General features: G+C 36.6%; 1 protein-coding gene across 8 annotated transcripts in view, besides 2 other annotated features; it reads right to left on the bottom strand.

Annotated features, from left to right (window-relative positions):
- Positions 881 to 1,382: an enhancer, noted in NCBI's record as "H3K4me1 hESC enhancer chr5:43708151-43708652 (GRCh37/hg19 assembly coordinates)". NCBI's record gives its function as "activates a minimal SCP1, AML or CMV promoter by ChIP-STARR-seq in primed H9 embryonic stem cells {active_cell/tissue: H9 hESC(primed)}" and the evidence as "EXISTENCE:reporter gene assay evidence [ECO:0000049][PMID:30033119]".
- NNT (nicotinamide nucleotide transhydrogenase) overlaps positions 2,035 to 18,066 on the bottom strand; it is a 104,722-nt gene continuing 88,690 nt past the window's right edge. For all 8 annotated transcript variants that reach the window (NM_012343.4, XM_005248274.6, XM_017009293.3 and 5 more), the window contains 3 exons: positions 9,194 to 9,312; positions 6,695 to 6,810; positions 2,035 to 5,176 (listed from right to left, as the gene is read on the bottom strand). In NM_012343.4, coding sequence (NP_036475.3) covers positions 5,027 to 5,176; positions 6,695 to 6,810; positions 9,194 to 9,312 — 385 coding nt within the window. In that variant the 3' untranslated portion in view covers positions 2,035 to 5,026. The remainder of the gene's footprint in view (positions 5,177 to 6,694; positions 6,811 to 9,193; positions 9,313 to 18,066) is intronic.
- Positions 3,095 to 3,264: an enhancer, noted in NCBI's record as "experimental_85394 CRE fragment used in MPRA reporter constructs". NCBI's record gives its function as "activates a minimal promoter by MPRAs in K562 erythroleukemia cells, with activity observed for the introgressed 5:43706354 variant allele {active_cell/tissue: K562}" and the evidence as "EXISTENCE:reporter gene assay evidence [ECO:0000049][PMID:34662402]".

The raw sequence follows: 18,066 nt of genomic DNA, 5'->3' as shown, positions 1-18,066 counted from the left end.
AGATCTTCATATTCCATCTTTACATAGGGGAAACTTACGCATCCCAAACTTCCTTGCTCTGAGCTCCCACTTCCTTTTCACTTCTCTCTATGGGGGGAAAGAACTAGCCACCATCATCCTAAGGGTCACCTACTTTCCCCAAATCCACATCCCCTTCCTCAATTCTTCTCAAAGTCCATGACAACCACTTCTTCTCCCCACTATCCTATTGCTGCCATGTGGACTCCCCTCTGAATTCATAGTCACCTTAGGCAAGCAAGATCACTTTGACTCTCTTCATTCCAATGTCTTTATGTCTGCTTTTCACAGTGACCCAAACAATGTGGCCTAACTGTCCAGCTCTCTGAAAGTCTGGTTTTGTCTATGGATAAAATATGAAATATCCAGGGACAAACTGGACTCTATATCTTTTAGGCAATTTTTACACTAGTGTTATCCTTCGTAAATATGCTTTTGGCAAGAACTGGAAGGCAGAGCTCAAGGCAGTAATCTTTGGCAAAATATGAAGTACAAATATTTCCTACAGAATGATGAGGCAGTCACATGATTTGACAATCAACATGACAGTGATGTAATATCTCCCCACTATTTAGGGTTTCAACTTTTAAAGTTTTTAGCTTTAAAGAACTTTTAAAGTTCTTAGCTTTCTCTACCATTGTTAGGATTCCCTACTATTCCCCCAAATAAATTATCTTCCATGGACTATTTTTTTTTTTTTTTTTTTTTTTTTTGAGACGGAGTCTCGCTCTGTCGCCCAGGCCGGACTGCGGACTGCAGTGGCGCAATCTCGGCTCACTGCAAGCTCCGCTTCCCGGGTTCACGCCATTCTCCTGCCTCAGCCTCCCGAGTAGCTGGGACTACAGGCGCCCGCCACCGCGCCCGGCTAATTTTTTGTATTTTTAGTAGAGACGGGGTTTCACCTTGTTAGCCAGGATGGTCTCGATCTCCTGACCTCATGATCCACCCGCCTCGGCCTCCCAAAGTGCTGGGATTACAGGCGTGAGCCACCGCGCCCGGCCCATGGACTATTTTTTTCTACCACTATCTTAATCATTATATATAGGAGTTTCAAATATTGGTTGCTCTAATTACTGTTCTCATCATACACATCATTTTGTTGCCAATAGCCAAAAGATTTTCATTCAGAATTACCACATATGCCATGCTAAATGCCTTTAATCACTTAAATAATAAAGAAAACAGTTCAATTCCTCAACCTAATATGTAACTTCTAAGAGACAAAAGTTCAAGAACTCTGAGTGCTTCAAAATCCAAATGTGACCATTTCTGCTACTTTGCTAAACAACACTTTAAAAGTTTCACTTAGAAAAATTTTTTTCCTCCTTGTTAATTAACCTAATTCTTCTTTCCTTTGAGAATCTAAAGAATACCTGGATTATGCAAGCTGCTGCCACTGGAGGGAAAGGTTTTGAGTTTTTGTTGTTGTTGTTGTTTACTATTCTCACTGAATAATATTTGTTGGCAAATGCTCTCAAAAACTGGTGAACTATAAATTAGATATTTGAACTATTCTGCCTAGTTACACAAAAGAGCTTTCCAATACTAAAATGCTTTAATTCACAAGACTTATGCCTTAGGGGACTAAAAAATTTGTCCCTAGGTTAGATGAACATATGAGTCACAAGTTACTACTTTTAAAGAATCAACCTTTGGGATCAGATAAATTTTATGAAACCTTAAAGTTTACTGATATATAATATATTTTATATTTATGTTGGATGCGAGAATATAGCAAAATCTAAAAGTTAGGGTCATGACTTGGGTAGAATCAGAAAGGCAACGGTTCACTTTCCAAATTCATTACCAAATACTTAACTGATATTTCCTGACTCAGTAAAGGGTTAAAAGCCTACTGCACGAAGAGACTATTAGTCTCTATTAGTCCTCTCTATTCTAATTCCTAGAAAAAAAAGAGAATATAAAATGATAGTCTACATGCCAGAAAACTGTCCAGATAGATACATGAGTAGCAATATAAACATATATATAATGTGTAAAAACTTATACATTTACTTATTTTTTAATGTATGTATTTATTGTGTATAACATATTTTTAAGTATATATACATTGTGGAATGACAAAATCTTTCTAATTAATATGTGCATTACCTCAATTAGTTATCACTTTTGTGGTGAGAACACTTCACATCCACTCTCTTAGAATTTTTCAAGAATACAATATATTGTGTTTTTTTACCCCAAAATTTCTTTATTTTTTTAATGGGAAAGATCACATTTATTTCAGCAAATAACTTCTTTATAAATAGCTTCTGTTTTCTTTTTTTTTTTAATTATACTTTAAGTTCTAGGGTACATGTGCACAACGTGCAGGTTTGCTACATATGTATACATGTGCCATGTTGGTGTGCTGCACCCATTAACTCATCATTTACATTAGGTATATCTCCTAATGCTATCCCTCCCCACTCCCCCCACCCCATGACAGGCCCTGGTGTGTGGTGTTCCCCACCTTGTGTCCAAGTGTTCTCATTGTTCAATTCCCACCTATGAGTGAGAACATGCAGTGTTTGGTTTTCTGTCCTTGCAATAGTTTGCTCAGAATGATGGTTTCCAGCTTTATCCATGTCCCTACAAAGGACATGAACTCATCCTTTTTTATGGCTGCATAGTATTCCATGGTGTATATGTGCACATTTTCTTAATCAAGTCTATCATTGATGGACATTTGGGTTGGTTCCAAGTCTTTGCTATTGTGAATAGTGCTGCAATAAACATACGTGTGCATGTGTCTTTATAGCAGCATGATTTATAATCCTTTGGGTATATACCCAGTAATGGGATTTATATACATTTTTTGCTTAGATGAGTAATTTAAACACAAACTCCTAATTTAAGACAAATGAGAAAATAAAGGATAGTTAACAAGCCCTTAAAGACAAATCAACATTAGCATTTCACTACCTACAGATAATTTTTTTTTTTTGGTGACAGACTATAAGGTACAATAAATTTTTTTAATTATTTATACTTAAATATCATAAAGATATAGTGAATAATACAAAAATAAAATAAGTCATATCTACCAATTGTATGACTTATTGGAAAAAGAGGAATAATGAAATAGAATGTATAAAAATCATTTTTGTTGTTTTTAGATTTTTGCCATAATTTATAATCTAAGTCCACTAACCTTTTGGAATATTAATTTAAGAAATTATATATACAAAAATCCTTTAAATATCCTAACCAATAAAGTAAAATAAAATGAACAGGGCATGAATTTTCAATTCATTTAACACAATTGATGACAAAGGATTGGCAAATAGCAAAGAATAAGATAATACTAAATAAAAATATATATAAATTAAAATTTTTACTATGACAAAAATAAATAAAATCCAAGTATGATTATTTTTAGTTTAAACTGAGTGCAGGAACTACCTTTTCAAGAAATCAAAATTGCTTCTTTCTAGATATAACTACAACTACTTTGAGAGAAGAAAAAGGGCAGGAATAAAGATGGTGTTTACTTTCTTCTAATAGAATATACATGGTATAATTCAGCCCTGAGTTTACTAGTGATCTAAGATCAATTAACAAATTGCATTTATCACTTAAAACTTTTAAAAAAGTCTTTTCTGCTTTAACACACAAACGCACACACACACACACACACATACACAGATCTTAATCTCAGGCACAGCAAAATAGAAACTGATTATAAAACCAAAAGATACTGTGTGTTTTAAACTCACTAAACGCGAGCATTACAGTAACAAAATTTGTACTACTTCTTTTTCTGGTTTAGAGATTGTCTTTCATGTGTTAATAATTTTTTGAGAAACTTAGTACCAAACTAATTATATAGAGAGACAAATAATCTGAGTATTCATCACACATTCACCTATATTTAGAGCTTTAGGCACGATAGCAAAGTCACAAAGAAAATCTACACTTCTATAAAAAGACATGATCTTTACTGGTGCTTAAATGAACAAAGAGGTAGCTAAAAAAAGCCACCATTTCTCTCAAATGTCATCAATTACATAAGACCTCAAAACACACACTGATTTGAAAAAAAATCCATCCGTATTATAAACAGTGAAGACAGATTAATGTCATCTATTTCATAGTAGCAGGTCTTCCTTGATATTTGTAACAGGCAGAAATATTTGATTTTACTCTTTTGTCACCAGAGATAATTGCCACATCACTTGCCAACATGATGAACTCATTTTATTAGTCAAATGTTGAATTCCACTCAAGTGCACTTAATATAGTACTACACATTATAAGTTGATCGAAATTAAAGAGATCTCCAATTAGAAATGGGATCTTCAAAAATACTATTACTAATTTTCAAGTTGTATGTTTCATTGGTATTCTAATGAAACATATAAAGCAAATGATTTGTTTCCAGCATCTCTGAAAGATTATTTAGTCCTTTAATGTATTAAAATAGTAGTGAGAAAATGTGCCCTTGAAATATAGACTCTGAAGTACAATTTAAAAAATTAAAACTGATTTGATATGATTAATTCAAACTGCGGTTGAATTGCAAGGGGACAGCTCAGAAGTTCATAAAAGTTTCAAATTAGTCACATTTGTTGAAAAAAAAAACATAAAATGCAGGTGCCTGCAATGTTTACATTGTGTCAGATATTTCAGAGCCATGTATAATGTTGTCTTGAAATCCTAAACACTTAGTTTTTTAAAACATTTCTGGTTACTGAGGAGGCATAAAAAATCCAACAGGACTACATCTAAAATGAGGCTGTTCTTTCTCCTTTTATAAAATACTTTTGATTCCTAACACAAAAAATATGCACAGAAAGACATTTAGAATTTTCAATCCTTTTTTAAAATTGAGGGATTACTGCTTTTGAAAAATCTCTCTATACAGTTTTTGCTTTGCTTTCTTCAGTCTTCATTTTCTCCAAGAGCTTTGCTACAGATGTACATCACCATGTATACTGATACTTTATTTGCCTGTTCCCAAAACTGCAGAGGTGGCATTATTAGCTAACAGCTTGATCCTTAATATTTACTTCTGATAGGATTCTCTAACTTTCGCCTGGAGCGCGTCACATGTTTTCTTGGCATCACCTAGAAGCATGGCCGTGTTAGGTTTGTAGAAGATTGGATTGTCCACTGCAGCATAGCCAACACCCAAAGACCTCTTCATAACAATCACCTGAGAACCAGAGATTAAATGAGAGAGTGTATTTAACAGACCAACCTAGGACATGTTAGGCAAACAAACATTGCTCTTCACTACCTTTGAACAAGGCATGTACCACTACTAATTCTTTAGTGCAGGGACTTTAAAAATACACAAGAAATATTTTTAACATATGTTTACATTGTATTAACTTTAATACTTAAGTGTGCCCTTATTCTTATATCCATTAGAGAAAAAGTCATGTTAATAATTTATCTCTGAGTGATAAGATTACAATTATTTTCTTCTTAGTGCTTCTTCTCTATAAAGACCATGTATACCATTTTCTAGTCAGTAAAATAAGCATCTTTCTATGAATGTGCTAAAGAAAACAAGTTTAGTGCATAAGTTTCCACTACAAATTCTAAAACAGATGAGGTTGAGTGGGAAAACAATGTTATTCTTTTCTATGACTTTAAAGTATATCAGAAAGTTCTAGAACAAAAGCCCAAAGAGCAATCCAGCTTCTCACAATAGCAGAGCTATAACTAACAGAATGTTCCTATAAATCAAAATGGAAGAGGTAAGTCAATCTATAATATTGATATGTTATAGACATTTACAATGACATGTGTTATGGATGTTGCTGTCCTGCTGAATATCAAGTCATTTCTTAATGAAATGAAAAGTCTTTCTATGGTCTACTAGGACATGTAATCTATTAAAAAACAGAAGCAGTGCAAATGTATTCTTCTTCTTATAGCGTTAGTATAGTAATGCACTCTACAAATTCTCAAATATTGACTACTGACACAATTTTTCATACACACATAAACAAATATATTTTATGTCTACTCATTCATCACAAATATTAAGTTTTAAACTCCAATATTTACAATAAAAAGAAACGAAATTAAATGGAAATGTACATTATGTTATGATTTTTTAAATGCAGAGGTGACTCAGTAGTGGTAAAATGTGCCTACTGCTGAGGCAGAGGAAAATTTACAAGCCTTTGAGTTATCTAAAATCTAGCAATTAGCTTTTTCAGGAGGAATACACATGAGCGAAGCTTGCTTCATTATGCCACATTATTGTTTGGATTTCCAAATCACCTTTCTGCTAGACACTCTATAACAACTTATAAATTCCCTTTCAAAAAGTTAAGTGAAAAAAATATGCTCATCTTGGCATATGAAGGCGATTGATACTTCCCAGAGGGAAGCCATCTGCTTCACAGGACTCGATCTGGAATTTAGCCAGACTCATTACAAAAGCTCACAGCTCTTTTTTCAGCTGTGGTTACAGATTGTGTTAATCCACCCACATAATCTCATCTGGTTCTACTTGTGATTAGGGCATTCACTCAGGTTCTCTGGTGGCCGGAGAACAGACAGAAGCTGGATATAGGAAACTGGGCCCTAAACATGCTCTTACTCCTGGCCTCCTAGAAGGCATCATCATTTCTTATCAAATGATCAAAGAAAGTTCTGTGTGTATATTTGAAGTGACCTTTGATTATCAGAATGAAATACAAGTCTGAAACTTTACCTGCTTTGATTTCCAGACCTCAAGGACTGGCATGCCTGCAATAATAGAGTTGGGATCTTCTTGAGCTGCTGAATTAACAGTGTCATTAGCTCCAATTACAAGGACCAAATCAGTATCTATATAATAAAACAAAAAAGAAAGAATATAAAACTCAAATGGTCACTTTTACATATTTTCAGACAAATTATAGTGATCTTTACTTTATAATAACAATAACAAAAATATAGGATTCGCACTTGTGCCAGGCACTTTACAAAGAACTTTATCAGAGAGGTTAAGCAACTCGGCCAATTTCACACAGCTAAAAAGCAGTAGGTCTTGCATTTGAACTTGACTATCTTGACTACAGCCTGCATTATTATGCTTCTCCCTTCTCAATAAATCTACCTAATCTGACTCTATAACTTTTATGATCTCAAAATGATCTTGCAATAGGGTCACATGATTTTATGAAATTTGCATTCCACTTTCAACCTTTAAAATGACCACTTAAACCTCAAACTATAAGAATCCAAGAAGAAAACCTAGGAAACACCATTCTGGACATCAGCCTTGTGAAAAATTTATGACTAAGTCCTCAGAAGCAAATGCAACAATGCAATAATTGACAAGTGAGACCTAATTAAACTAAAGAGCTTCTGCTTAGCAAAAGAAACTAACAAGAGAGTAAACAGACAAGCTACAGAATGAGAGAAAATATTCACAAATTATGCATGCATTGGACAGAGTTCTAATATCCGGAATCTATAAGGAACTTAAACAACTCAACAAGCAAATAAAATAAAATAAAATAAATTTTAAAAAAATTTTAAAAAATATTTAAAAACTGGGCAAAAGACATGAACAGACATTTCTCAAAAGAACACATACAAGTGGTCAACAAACATGAAGAAATGTTCGACATCACTAAACATAAGAGAAATGCAAAGCAAAACCACAATGAAATTACTATCTCACACCAGTCAGAACAGCTATTAGTAAAAAGTCAAAACAATAACAGACGCTGGCAAGGCTGTGGAGAAAATGGAACATTTACACGCTGTTTGTAGAAATGTAAATTAGTTCAGCCAGTGTGGAAAGCAATTTGGAGATTTTTCAAAGAACTTAGAACTCCTACTTGACCCAGCAATCCCACTACTGCGTACATATCCAAAAGAAAACAAATCTTTCTACCAAAGACACATTCACTAGCATGTTCATCACAGCACTATTCACAATAGCAAAGACATGGAATCAACCTAGATGTCCATCAATGGTGCACTGGATAAAAAAAAATATGGTACATATGTGCCATGGAATACTACACAGCCATAAAAAGGATGGAAATCGTGTCCTTTCCAGCAACATGGAAACAGCTGGAGGCCATTATCCTAAGCAAATTAACACAGGAAAAGAAAATCAAATACTGCACATTCTCACTTATATGTGGGAGCTAAACACTGGGTACTCAGGAACATAAATACGGCAACAATAGAACCTGGAGACTACCAGAATGGGGAGTGAGGGATATGGGCAAGGGTTGAAAAACTGTGGGGTACTATGCTCACTACCTCCAACCCTCAGCATCCCACAGTATAACCAGGTAACAAACCGCACATGTACCCCTGAATCTACAATAAAAGTTAAAAAAATACATAAAAATAAAATAAGATAACTCCTTGAGAGTCTCAAAATCTGCATTAAAGCCATGTCCATAATTCCTGGAACTGGGTGGTGTCACACATAATTTAACAACAGTGGAATCTGAAAAGGGACATAAAATTAAAATGGCCTAAGTTTTCTCTTCAAGAACTGCAATATAAACTACCTTAGACTGTTGCCAAAAAAATGCTATGTGAATCTAGACATACACACAATTTCAATACTTTTTCTAATAAACAGCCTTTTTTAAGTTTACAGTGGATATTTGCCAGAGGGAAGTGGTTTAATTTTAACAAGCATAGGCTTGGGCCAAATGTCATTACCATTCAACATCTACCCTATGACAGCTATAACGTACAGCACCTTATCTAGGGAAATTCTAGTACTTTTTAAAAAGAAAAGAAAGAGAAAATTACTTCACCAGTCATACGTTAGTACAATTGAAAACCAGTAAAATCTCAGAGACTGGCAAGAATCAGACACTAAATTATCAACAGAAGCACTCATAAATGAAGAGCCTGAGGTTGGGTAACAAGCTACTGAGAATCAGGATCTGGATTCAAAAGCCAGGTCTGCCCAGATCCCCAGTCTTCAACATTTCTATACTACACACCAAGGTTTTCACCATCCTTCAGTTCTTCACGGAGGAGAAAAATTTACCTGTGCTGTTTACGAATCTTTTGTACCTTATTCAATACTATATTTCACTTATTTAATTTCAACTTATTATCTACCATGTACAAGTTCTTTTTCATCTGACTAGTCAGTCTTCACTGAATCTACAATTCATATCCCACACCTGCACTGCTTTATTCATAGTAAGAATATTTAAACTTCACAATTGCCCCCACCACTTACCTGGAAAATCATGGTTGATCTCATCCATTTCCAACACAATGTCATATGGCACACCAGCCTCAGCCAGCAGCACATTAAGCTGACCAGGCATTCGGCCTGCAACTGGGTGAATTCCAAACCTAGACATGAAACAAATGAAGAGCTGGCCTTACTTGACAGGACATAATGTACAGAGACCCCAATATCACCTCCAAATCTGCACACTTTGTTCTTGGCACCTCTGCTTTTTTCTGGTACTATCTGATCTCTACAGAATGAAACAGCAGTAGTCCAGATATATAGTCAATTTACAAATATTGAAGCTGAAGTTTCAGTATTTTAGTGTGCAGAAACTATAACTTCCCTCAGAAAAATAAAAGCTTAACTTTGTTTTCAGTGCAGTGAACTTCCAATAATGTTAATAAATAATATCACCTTACATTTAAAAATCACTGTGTTCTCTCATACTTTCTGGTAAATATTGAATCTTTAAAAACCTATTTACCTAGCCTGGAATTAAATGTTTCCCACGAAAAATCAACATTATTCTATCAAAAGCTGACTTCACATTCAACTTTAACCACTTTGTTCAAAGGTAGGGAGATGGCTGGGCATGGTGGCTAATGCCTGTAATCCCCGCACTTTGGAAGGCCAAGACGGGCAGATCACTTGAGGTCAGGAGTTCAAGACCAGCCTAGCCAACATAGCGAAACCCTATCTCTACTAAAAATACAAAAATTAGCCGGGCATGATGGTGGGCACCTGTAATCCCAGCTACTCAGGAGGCTGAGGCAGGAGACTCACTTGTACCCAGGAGGAGGAGATTGCAGTGAGCTAAGATTGTGCCACTGCACTCCAGCCTGGGTGACAGAGCAAGACTTTGTCTCAAAAAAAAAAAAAAAAAAGGTAGGGAGATAAAATGTTGTCATACACATGATGTTAAAGCCTACAGCCACTCAGAGAATGATATAAAATACTACTCCACATCACAGAAGACATGTGATGGGAACACACAGGAGCATCTAAAACACAGAGTGGGTAATACACAAGCAGAGCTCTACACTTAAGGTAAAGGACCCCAAAGCATCAAGCAACTTCTTTTGACCACAGATATAATGAGGTCTTTAAAGTTTTTTAATCCAACCTCTTGCCCAGTATTTATCTGTCTCCACAGTACTAAGAACAGTGTGTGGCACATAGAAAGGGCTCCATAAGAAGTGAATGAATGAATGAATGAATCCAAAAATAAATGCAGTTTATACTATCTCTTGGAAGAGATCCATCCAACCTCAGCCTAAATACCTTCAATGACCCTTCTAAGGTCTAATCCATTACTAGACTACATATATATATATATATATGTAGTGTATATATATATATAGTCTACATATATATGTGTGTGTGTGCATGTGTGTGCAAGTATGTGTATATATGTGTATGTATGCATATATATTCATATAGTAATATATTCATTCATATACAGTAAGTCCTCACTTATCATCCATAAGTTCTTAGAAAGTGCAACTTTTTAGAAAGTGCAACTTTAAGTGAAACAAGATATAATGAAACCAATTTTACTCTAGGCTAATTGATATAAACAAGAGTTAAGTTCCTATGGCATATTTCTGGCCACAGAAATATCACCAAACTTCTAAATAAAGACCAAAATACTTCTAATATTAAACATTGAAATAAATGTGAGCTATACATACAGTTAGGAAAGATTAATAAAATCAAATAAGATAATTATTTGCCCAAGGCAGGAACCAGATCTGGACAGGACACTATCTCATTGCAGGGCACACTCCCAGACACCCACACTCACTCAGACTGGAACCACGTAGACACATCAATTCACCTAACATGAACATCTTTGAGATATGAGAGGAAAGCAGAGAATCCAGAGAAAACCCACACAGGCATGGTAAGAATGTGCAGACCCCACAGAGACAATGGCCCCAGCTGGGAATTGATTTTTTTTCTCATCAAAGTGGTAACAAAATGATACTGAACAAAATGACGTTATTTGAGGATTTGCAATATATATATATTTTCATATATTAATATATTCAGTCTTAATACAAGATTATATATTATATAATATATTCATCCATATTAAGCCAGATAAATAAGTTATATGTGTGTATATGTATGTATATGTGTGTGTGTGTGTGTGTATATATCCAAAGAGAAACTCCACCTCATTTTTTTCCAAGGTCTATAGTTGTGCCATCTGGAACCATAATGAATCTACAACCTCTTTCATTTGCAGATTCCTGTCAGCTATCCTAGTGATATGGTTTGGCTGTGTCCCCGCTCAAATCTCATCTTGATTCCCACATGTTGTGGAAGGGACCTGGTGGAAGATTACTGAATCATGGGGGCAGCTCTTTTCCCATGCTGGTCTCGTGATAGTGAATAAGTTTCACAAGACCTGATGATTTTATAAGAAGGAGTTTCCCTGCACAAGCTCTCCTTTTTTTGCCTGCCACCATCCACATAAGATGTGACTTGCTCCTCCTTGCCTTCCACCATCACCATCCACATAAGATGTGACTTGCTCCTCCTTGCCTTCTGCCATGAATGTGAGACCTTCCCAGCCTTGTGGAACTGTAAGTCCATTAAACCTCCTTCTTTTATAAATTGCCCAGTCTCAGGTATGTCTTTATCAGCAGCATGAAAATGGACTAATATAGTAAATTGGTACTGGGTGTAAGGTGCTGCTGAAAAGATACTCAAAAATGTGGAAACAACTTTGGAACTGGGTAACAGGCAGAGGCTGGAACAGTTTAGAGGGCTCAGAAGAAGACAGGAAAACGTGGGAAAGTTTGGAACTCCCTAGAGACTTGTTGAACAGCTTTGATCAAAATGCTGATAACGTTATGGACAATGAAATCCAGGCTGAGGTGGTCTCAGATGGAGATGAGGAACTTGTTGGGAACTGGGGCAAAGGTGACTCTTGTTATGTCTTAGCAAAGAGAATGACGGCATTTTACCCCACCCTAGAGGTGTGCAGAACTTTGAACTTGAGTGAGATGATTTAGAATATCTCACAGAAGAAATTTCTGAGCAGCAAACCATTCAAGAGCTGACGTGGGTGCTGTTAAAGGCATTCAGTTTTAGAAAGAAAACAGAGCATAAAAGTTTGGAAATTTTGCAGCCTGACAATGTGATAGAAAAGAAAATCCCATTTTCTGAGGAGAAATTCAAGCCAGCTACAGAAACTTACATAAGTAATGAGGAGCCTAATGTTAATCCCCAAGACCATGGAGAAAATCTCTCCAGGGCATGTCAGCGACCTTTGCAACAGGCCCTCCCATTATAGGCCCAGAAGTTTAGGAGGAAAAAATGGTTTCATGGGCCAGGCCCAGAGTCCCTCTGCTGTGTGCAGTGTAGGGACTTGGTGCCCTGTGTCTCAGCCATCCAGCCATGACTAAAAGGGGCCAAGGTATAGCTTGGGCTGTTACTTCAGAAGGTGGAAGCCCCAAGCCTTGGTAGCTTCCACATGATGTGGAGCCTGCATGTGCAAAGAAGTCAAGAACTGAGGTTTGGGAACCTCTGCCTAGATTTCAGAAGATGCATAGAAACACCTGGATGCCCAGGCAGAAGTCTGCCACGGGGGTGGGGCCCTCACAGAGAACCTCTGCTACTGCAGTGCAGAAGGGAAATGTGGGGTCGGATCACCTACATAAAATCCCTACTCAGGCACCACCTAGTGGAGCTGTGAGAAGAGGGCCACCATCCTCCAGACCCCAGAATGGTAGATCCACTGACAGCTTGCACTGTGCACCTGGAAAAATCTGCAGAAACTCAATGCCATTCCATGAAAGCAGCCAGGAGGGAGGCTGTACCCTGTAAAGCCACAGGGGCAGAGCTACCCAAGACCATGGGAACCCACCTCTTGTATCAGCATGACCTGGATGTGAGGCATGGAGTCAAAAGAGATCATTTTTGAGCTTTAAGATTTGATTGCCCTGCTGGATTTCAAACTTGCAAGGGGCCTTTAGTCCCTTTGTTTTGGCCAATTTCTCCCATTTGAAATGGGTGTATTTACCCAATTGTATCTAGGAAGTAACTAACTTGCTTTTGATTTTACAGGCTCATAGGCAGAAGGGACTTGCCTTGTCTCATATGAGACTTTGGACTGTGGACTTTTGAGTTAATGCTGAAATGAGTTAATAATTTGGGGGATGGTTGGGAAGGCATGATTGGTTTTGAAATGTGAGGATATGAGATTTGGGAGGGGCCAGAGGTGGGATGATACAGTTTGGCTGTGTCTCTACCAAAATGTCATCTTGAATTCCCGTGTGTTGTGGGAGAGACCCAGTGGGAGGTAACTGAATCATGGGGGCAGGTCTTTTCTGTGCTGTTCTCATAAGTCTCATGAGAACTGGTGGTTTTATAAGAAGGAGTTTCCCTGCACAAGCTCTCTTTTTTGGCTTGCTCCCATCCATGTAAGATGTGACTTGATCCTTCTCGCCTTCTGCCATTGATTGTGAGGCCTTCCCACCCATGTGGAGCTGCAAGTCCATTAAACCTCCTTCTTTTGTGAATTGCCCAATCTCACGTAAGTCTTTATCAGCAGCATGAAAATGGACTAATACACCTTGGATGCCTCCTAAGCAAAACATCCTCAGTCCTTTCAACCATTTAATGAATGACAGACATCCTGACCTACTGCTGTCCTAGTCATCTGTATCCTATACTGTCAATGCCCAGCTTAAGCCTCAGTCCCTCAAAGTGAATACAGTGTGCTAGACATGATCTAGATGCATAAGGCACAGTAAGAAAACCATATCCTCACATCTTTCATTGATAAAGCCTAAGTCTGTATCAGCATTTATGGCCACCACAACACACTGCTGCCTCACACAAAAATTATGGTCATTTAAGATGCCTTGTTATTTTTCACAAGAACTGTTGGCAAGCCAGGCCTCCCCACTCTTCATATAGGCGCATCAGGGAAGAGGTTAAAGAGCATAGGACTTGACCCCTTCCTAAAAGGAAGACCTGAAAAGAGCTATAGATGGTGATTTATTTTGCCCAGACAAGTGAGAAATTGTTTTCGACATCTTTAAAGCTAATAATGAAGACTCTAAGCTACCATTAGGGGTCTTGTAATTGGAGGAAAAATACATCAAATGACAGATATTCTTTTTTATCAAATACCTCTATACACACAAACTAGAAAACCTAAAAGAATTGAACACATTCCTGGACACATACACCGTCCCAAGACTGAACCAGGAAGAAATTGATTCCCTGAACAGGTCAATAAAGAAATTGAATCAGTAATAAATAGTCTACCAACCAAAATAAAGCCCAGGACCTGATGAATTGACAGCTCAAATCTACCAGATGTACAAAGAAGAGCTGGTACCATTCCTACAGAAATGATTCGAAAAAACCAAGGAGGATAGACTCCTCCCTAACTCATTCTGTAAGGCCAGCATCATTCTGATACCAAAATCTGTCAGACACACACACACACACACACACACACACACACACACACACACAAACTTTAGGCCAATATCCTTGATGAACATTGATGCAAAAATCCTCAACAAAATACCTGCAAACCAAATCCAGCAGCACATCAAAAAGCTAATACACCACAATCAAGTAGGCTTCATCCCAGGGATGCAAGGTTGGTTCAACATATGCAAATCAATAAACGTGATTCATCACATAAACAGAACTAAAGACAGAAACCACATGATTATCTCAATAGATGCAGAAAATGCTTTCAATAAAATTCAATATCCCTTCATGTTAAAAACTCTCACTAAACTAGGTATTAAAGGAACATACCTCAAAATAGTAAGAGCCATCTATGACAAACCCATGGCCAACATTATACTGAATGTGCAGAAGCAGGAAGCATTCTCCTTGAAAACCAGCCTAAGACAAGGATGCCCTCTTCTCACCACTCCTAGTCAACACAATCTGAGAGTCTTTGCCAGAGCAATCAGGCAAGAGAAAGAAATAAAGAGCATCCAAATAGGAAAAGAGGAAGTCAAACCATCCCTGTCTGGAGATGACATGATTTTATATCTAGCAAACCCCACAGTCTTGGCCCCAAAGCTCCTTCAGCTGATAAACAACTTCAGCAAAGTTTTAGGATACAAAATCAATGTGTAAAAATCACTAGCATTCCTATACACAAACAATAGCCAACTCTAGCCAAATCAGGAACATTACAAAATTCCACATTACGAAATTCCATGGGTTTTATAAGCTTTATGTCAGGAATGGGACACAAAGACTAAATAGGTATTTTTTATTAGCACTGATAGCAAGTAGAAACAAACTGCAGAGAATGAACTATTAATACTCTAAGATTATTTTAAAAGGAATCCAGCATCCCTTCCTTCAGTGGGTTGTTGACAGTTTTATTTAAGTGAGAATAAAATTAAAGCCATTCATTAGTTTTAGGTGGTCATCCAACCTCACCATCTTAATGCAGGTTTTAGGTTCTTCAACCATGAATTATTCTATCACTTTTGGCAATATTACAGCTAGTTCAACACTTAAGTTAATTTTTTTTTAATTCTCTAGAAACAAGATTGTTTATTTTTTTAACCAAACATTGCTATCCTAATGTCACCATCTGTGCCAAATCAGAGTTTCAGTCACTCTTGACAACAAATGAATGAGGCAAAATACTGACAATTTATGTGCATACTTTTCATGTAGTAATACAAGCTATATTCAGTACTACTACAGCTGTTTTCAAACTGCTCCAGAGAAAGCATTTCCAAAATGTTACAAGGATTCTTCTGCTGAGATCTCTACTTTAAAAATGTAATATTTTACAGCAGCAATAAGAAAATATTTGGAAAAAAATTTCTCCAGCAATCAAAGTGCATGCTCATTAAATAAGAGGTATTTTTCTAAACCTCAGCTCTAAACATAAATATCTTTTCATATGCAGGTTTAAGCATGAAAATTAAAAATAGATTTAGAAAGAAAATGCATTATATTGAAATAACCAAAATATACTCCCAAGACTACTGATCACCAGGAATTTGAGAAAAGACATGATGAATGGAAGTTTCCAAGGTGCCTGAGTTTACAAATAACCATCACTGTTTTCATCAAGTTCCAGACTTTTAACCTTGTCTTCTACGGTGGAGATAGCTGAATAATCCCTCAGGTTCAGGGACAATAAAAGAAGAACTAGGAAAAAGATAACAGATCCAGAAAAAAAAAATAAATAAAGCTTACTTAAGTATAATAACAATTCAAATTTTTTTAAAAAGAGGAAAGGGCTGAATTTGTGTAATCTTTGAGTATGTGAGAAAGAAGGATGCAAACAAAGCAAAATGCACATGAGATTGACACAAACACATGGCTTTAAAGGCACATATGACACAAAGTGTTTAAAAATAAGAAAGTTATTTGAACATCAAAATGGAAAGGATAGTAAGAGATTATAACCCACTGCAGAAAGTGGGAAACCAGGAATCAATACTGATAACAGATTCATAAGTCAGTAAGAAATAAACAAAGAAAGAAAGAAGCACTCTCCCTTACAGTGGTAGACCATGAACTGATAAATGTGATGGGGTTTTTACATCACCATTTTGCAATCATCATAATAAAGATTGGTACCGTAAAAATCATCAGCATGGCCAGGCTCAGTGGCTCACGCCTGTAATTCTAGCACTTTGGGAGGCCAAGGCGGATGGATCACCTGAGGTCAGGAGTTCGAGACCAGCCTGGCCAACATGGTGAAACCCTGTCTCTACTAAAAATACAAAAATTAGCTGGGCATGGTGGTGGGTGCCTGTAACCCCAGCTACTTGGGAAGCTGAGACAAGATAATTGCTTGAACCCGGGAGGCGGAGGTGGCAGTGAGCTGGGATCGCGCCACTGCACTCCAGCCTGGGCGAGAAAGCAAAACTCCATCTCAAAAGAAAAAGAAAAAAAAATCAGCACATGTTCAGTCTAGGGAGTTAAGTTTGATGAAGAGCAAGATATTTGCATGGTCTTAAAGAGAGCTCAAAGCAGTTTGCCCCTGTTCCCTTACTCTAACCTCAACTGAGAAAGAAAAAAAAAATTAAAACTTTTAATGCTTTATTTGATAACTACGTCAATGAAAACTGATCTATAATCAGACAGTAGTTGCTAGAAATATTAACCACCTGTACACTTTGCTGAATGGGCATTTAATTATGTGGACAGAGTCCATATTTTTGTTTTCTCCCCAGATAATAATTCCTTGTAAATACCTAACAAAATAGATTTTACCAAGTTTAACATCCAAATCTCTGCCAAGAAGAACTTACATTGAAACTATAGTTTATTAATATGTATTTTAATGCACTGTTTGGTAGACACAGGTACTGACAATATTTTAACTCAATGTTCTATTTTATGAACCAAAGAAAGGCACAGAGATTGTGCTCCAACAAAGGCAGAGATCCTATAATTAAATTCTAGAGCCCTAGCGTGTGATTATTTTTGAATAATAATGGAAGAAAATCATTTCCAAAAGAATGTATCTTAAAATAAAAAGTTTTAGATTGAAAAAGTCATTTCACTTTAACAGAGATGCTTAGTAATATATCTAAAGTATCACATTGCATTATTAATCAGCTGATTTTCTTTCAAAGTTAATGCCAAGTTGTATTTCAACTGTTATCAATTTCAAATCAACATTTCAAATTAACTCAGAGACTTTTTCCCCCAGTTACCAAAGGTACTCTTCTATCACTGACTAAACCCAATGATGAAACTAAATAACTAGATTTAGCTCATAGAACTACAGATTTAAAAGATCAGAGGGCACTTGGATAAGGTTCAAGAGAAAGACAAAATAGCTAACAACTTAAAAAATAACACACTCTGGCCGGGCATGGTGGCTCACACCTGTAATCCGAGCACTT

Source organism: Homo sapiens, chromosome 5 (assembly GCF_000001405.40).
Source record: "Homo sapiens chromosome 5, GRCh38.p14 Primary Assembly".
Classification (NCBI taxonomy): domain Eukaryota; kingdom Metazoa; phylum Chordata; class Mammalia; order Primates; family Hominidae; genus Homo; species Homo sapiens.
The sequence above is the reverse complement of the archived record's forward strand: the minus strand, read 5'-3'. Positions and strand labels throughout refer to the sequence as shown.